Source organism: Homo sapiens, chromosome 12, assembly GCF_000001405.40.
Source record: "Homo sapiens chromosome 12, GRCh38.p14 Primary Assembly".
In the NCBI taxonomy this organism is placed as follows: domain Eukaryota; kingdom Metazoa; phylum Chordata; class Mammalia; order Primates; family Hominidae; genus Homo; species Homo sapiens.
Genome location: NC_000012.12, coordinates 59,520,222 through 59,524,906, shown reverse-complemented (window position 1 = coordinate 59,524,906; position 4,685 = coordinate 59,520,222). Strand labels below are relative to the sequence as shown.

Below are 4,685 nucleotides of genomic sequence, written 5' to 3'. Positions count from 1 at the left end.
ATGACAAAAAAGGTAAAAAATCTTATATGATAAGTGATGAGAATCTGACTCCACAGTTCACTCTTTTTAAAGAATCAAATGGCTGGGCATGGTGGTTCATACATACCTGTAATCCCAGTACTTTGGGAGGCTGAGGTGGGAAGATCACTTGAGTTCAGGAACTCAAGCCTGGGCAACACAGCGAGACCTCGTCTCTACTGGAAAAAAAAATAGCCAGGAGTGGTGGTGCACACCTGTAGTTCCGGCTACTAGGGAGGCTAAGGCAGGAGGATCACTTGAGCCCAGGAGAACAAGGCTTGAGTGACTCATAATTGTGCCACTGAACTCCAGCCAGGGTGACGAGCAAGACCCTGTCTCAAAAAAAAAAAAAAATTACATGGCTTCATCTTAGTTTCTCCGCACATACCACCTACCTATTTCCACCACCTGCATCTACCCTCACCTGCTTGACCAATAGACTTGAACAATTATGTAACCTCCCAACCCTGAAGACAAGAGAAAAACTTGGTGTCTGGATTTTGTGTCTTAACATTTATTTAAAAGTAAAAAGTATATATTATGTTACAACATTTATTAGATGCATAATAATGTTACCAGAGCAACAATAAATATATAAGTTAGAAGTCAATAGGCAACATATAGTCACCATTATGATGTAGGGGTTGTGGTGATAATAAGGTGATTTATTACTCACAGTGCAGGAACAATAGTGAACATAGCAACATTCTGACTTGAAACCTCTCTTCTGATCCAGGAACAACTATCCTGAGCTGCTGTTCATGATTCAGGTTGGCATCAATCAAATTGGAAGCACATGAATTATACATTATTGTTTCTGAGCCACAGGTGGGTATTCTGTTTCTAGCTGCTCAAATGAGTTGCCTCATTCCTTATTGCTTCCTACTAATATTCTCATCTTCCAGTTTTTTGTTTTTATCTGCTAAAGACATGAAGAATGGGAACACTACCATTGCATCTCCCAGCCCCAGAGAAGGATGTTCACTCCCATGTTCTCACCTTTTCTTCATCTTTATTTGATGGCTATAACTTTGTCATTCATATTTTTTAAAAATCGTGGGTGGATGTTTTGGATTTTTTTAAGATATACAGTAAATACCAACTTCTTAAATTTTCCCTCGCTGCTTCCAGAGGAGGCTGGTATATTTTTTCTCTGTTCAACAACGAGAGAAGTATCAAGTTTTAGGTGAGTGTCCAAAGAGTCCACTAATACTTACTGAGTACCTGCTCAATAAATTGCTTCACTCAATAATGAACACCGTGCCTGTACAACTGAAACTGACTCTTGGCTTGTTGCAGCTTGGAGCATGCTTTTTTACATTGTTTAGAAATGTTCAGATTAATGTTTTACTCCTTACTTAACTGGTTACACAGCTAGCTTTACTTAGGTGAGTAATGGGATACAAAAGACCCTGATGTAAAGTTTTGCACAGGCTCCCTTCAAATCAAGACAGTTCGTGTGTATCTTTGTGGTTCATAATCTGAAAACAAAGCAGATTCTGTGTGACTGAGATGGGATCCTAGGGGCTGGAAACCATCACTGATTGCCTGTACTGTCCTTCTCCTGTCGTACCATACCCTTTTCTTTTAATAAAGACTTATGTGAGTATACCTTGGGGAGTCTTGTTTGTCATTATAATTATCCAACCCTGTGTAATCAAAGCAAAGTGACCCTCTGTAGGGTTCCTTTAAGGGAGGAAGGAAAAAAAAAGAGCATACAGAACAATTTTTCCAATCACTGAGGTTTGAAATAGTCACTTGCCAATAAACACTGGCATACAAAGATTTTATTCACTAAAGAAAGGGTGATAACTATTTGAAGACTACATTTACCTCTCACTTTACTTTTTTGCTATTTGTAATGTGACAACAGTATCACAATATTTCAAATTACATATACGCATACTCACACAAAGATATGAATGATTAAAACAGCACATGCATTAAAATAGTATATATACTATTATATACATATATATATATATACACACACACAAATAAATAAATATATGACCAAATATATAAGACTTATGTTACATAGCAGTTTCTGGGGTCAATGTCCTTCCTAGTTCTGACATATAAAAGTTGCAGAATTTTAGTCACTTCGTGTTGTCTATCTGTGCCTCAGTTTCCTCATCCATAAAATGTGAATAGCAGTAGTAGATTATATGAGACCATGCATGGTTCATAAGTGCTCAGTTACTGTTAGCTATTATTATTATCATTATCTTTATGAAAGTCATCAAATGGGCAGAAGTATATTGAAAAGGAATTAGAACTGTTCCCCATGTATTGCAAACTTTGCCAATCAGAAGTAAGATTTAGAACAAATAACTCTCACTTTTTATTATTTTATTCAACAATTTTAAGTTTATTATTGGAATATTAGTATCACAAAAGTAAGCACATAAATATATTCTTTCAATTGTGAATGTCCTTGTTCCTAGATCTTGTGGAATACTATTTGAAAAAGCATGTTGTGAATTCTACAGTATTGTACAAAAGTTGATGTTCCTATTAATTTGAACCTAGTTATTGGTTTCAATGTAAAATGCTGCTCTTGTTAACAGTTATCTTCTACAGCACATCTTTTGAGTAAAGACATGCAAGTAGTACTGAAACGACTGCAATGTGATAATCACGGAGACTGGACTGGTTCAACATCCAGATGTTTCGATTTTTTTGATAAATCAATCTCCAAGGTTCAGCTCATTCACAGTGTGAGGCTACTTACCTGTTCAAAGTACATCACTTTTGTCCTCCAGTTTTCATATTGGCTTCCTGTCAAGGTTTGCATTGATTTTAAAGTTTTATTGTTGACGTTTAAAGCACTTAATGGCCTGATACCTTCTTACATTAATGATTTGCTTATCCCTATGGGACAAGAATAAATTTTGAGATGTACTTTTGCTAGCTGGATGTCAGTCTTAAATGTCACCTTGAGATTCAGAGTGCAAAGGCTTACTGTCTTTTGTTCACATTCTTTTTGAGATCAGATAAGACATCAGAAAGAAAATAACACAACTTTTCTAAAGGTCAGTGGGACATCACAGAAAAATGATGTATCAAGACCTTCGGTTAATCAAATTAATGTAAGTTTTCAAGTTCTCAAATAAGATTTGTAATGGGCAAAGCAAAATGACTAAAGCCTCTATCTAGAAAAGTAACAATACAAACGTTAAATCTATGAAATGCAGAAATTATTAAAATAATACTCTTATTTTGAAAACTTGGAAAATATGCTATGTTCCTGAGTGAAAAAATATTTTGCTTATTCTTCTCTCAAAGTCAATCTCTCAAGGAATTTTAAAAAATTTTTAGATAAGTATGATAAATTGCATGGATGGAAAAATGCTGTAATATATTCTAGAATCAATCACAAATAGTCTTTTTTAATTTGGTGTTTAATTTTGAAGACTAGGTTATGCTGTATTTGTGTCAGATTGCTTTGTTTAATGACACATGATTAATGCCAAGCATAGTCTAGTTTATTTTTTAAGAAAATAACTGTTTTTTGTGAGTGTAAAGTATTAAAAGATAATATAGAAAATCAGCTGTTTATGACCTGGTACACTTTATAAAAGGAATTGTAATTCATGATATAGAGAAAACTATTTTGTATACCCTAGTACCATTATCAATCTATCTTATTTCTAAAATAAGTCTTTATTTCTAAAAGCTATCTAGCTTGCTAGCTAATCTCTCTGATCTACCTACCCACCTATCCAACTACTAGTTTTGTATCTCAGTCCATTGCCTTTTCTGTCACTTGCCATATCGATATTTGATACCTGGTGACTTAGTATAAATCAAATTTTGTGCACATAAAACAAAGTACAAGAAAGTGTTTTTAAAATATTAAGTGCCGAATAAATTACATATTACCATACTTTGTCATTATTTTCTGTTAAAGAGTGTGTTGCAAATGAAAATAACCTGAGTGACTTCTAAAGGTCTCTTTCCCATTCTACCATCTATCTTCCATCCTGTCTATTCCTGTAGCTATGTAACACAATTTCTTCTTGTAGATATGGCCAAAATAAACCCTTTAAACTTCTATGATATGACGAAATGGTGAAAATCAAACAAAATATTTTTTCCAGGTCATTTAGATTTAGAGATATTTTGGGTAAGATTATTTGTTGATAGCTCAAATCAAAACATGAAATGTGAAAGATGAACTGTTTAATTTATTGTTAAAAGGTAAGTTTATTTTCCATCATTATTTTTTCTATTAGAGAATTTAGTATTTGGTACCATGAAAGTTAAAGAAGGAAAAGTTAACAAGTTTATTAGAATAAAAGATCCAAACTACATTGGTAATGTAAGGGAAAAAAAGCCATGTTTAATTACTTATAAGCAATGCAAAATATGTATTGATCCCCCAAACAAATAATTTGGTGGAGGAAGTCATGAAAATAAACATAAGCACTATTAATCTGTACGTAAGCAATGTAAATCTGAAGCTATACTGGATTGATATGCCTTTGTAATTTGGGGACAGTTAAATTTTTTTAAAAATAAAATATTATTTTTTGCCAATCAGTTTTCTTCTCCTGGCATAGGACTTGCTTAGAAACATTGGCAGATGTATTCATTCCTTTTGGTAACTAAGGAAACATTTAATGCATTACTTCTGCTCTGCACTTAACATAACTAGAGGTTTA

At 33.6% G+C, this 4,685-nt stretch overlaps 1 long non-coding RNA gene across 2 annotated transcripts; it reads left to right on the top strand.

The window, feature by feature from the left end:
• Window positions 1–729: 729 nt before the first annotated feature.
• On the top strand, window positions 730–3,907 carry LINC02448 (long intergenic non-protein coding RNA 2448). Of its 2 annotated transcripts, XR_945012.3 has the most exons (3): window positions 755–846; window positions 947–1,204; window positions 2,589–3,907. It is a non-coding gene; the product is annotated as a long intergenic non-protein coding RNA 2448 (long non-coding RNA). The 2 variants fall into 2 exon arrangements; XR_945011.4 differs by lacking the exon at window positions 2,589–3,907 and having other exon boundaries at window positions 730–846; window positions 924–1,629.
• Window positions 3,908–4,685: the final 778 nt, after the last annotated feature.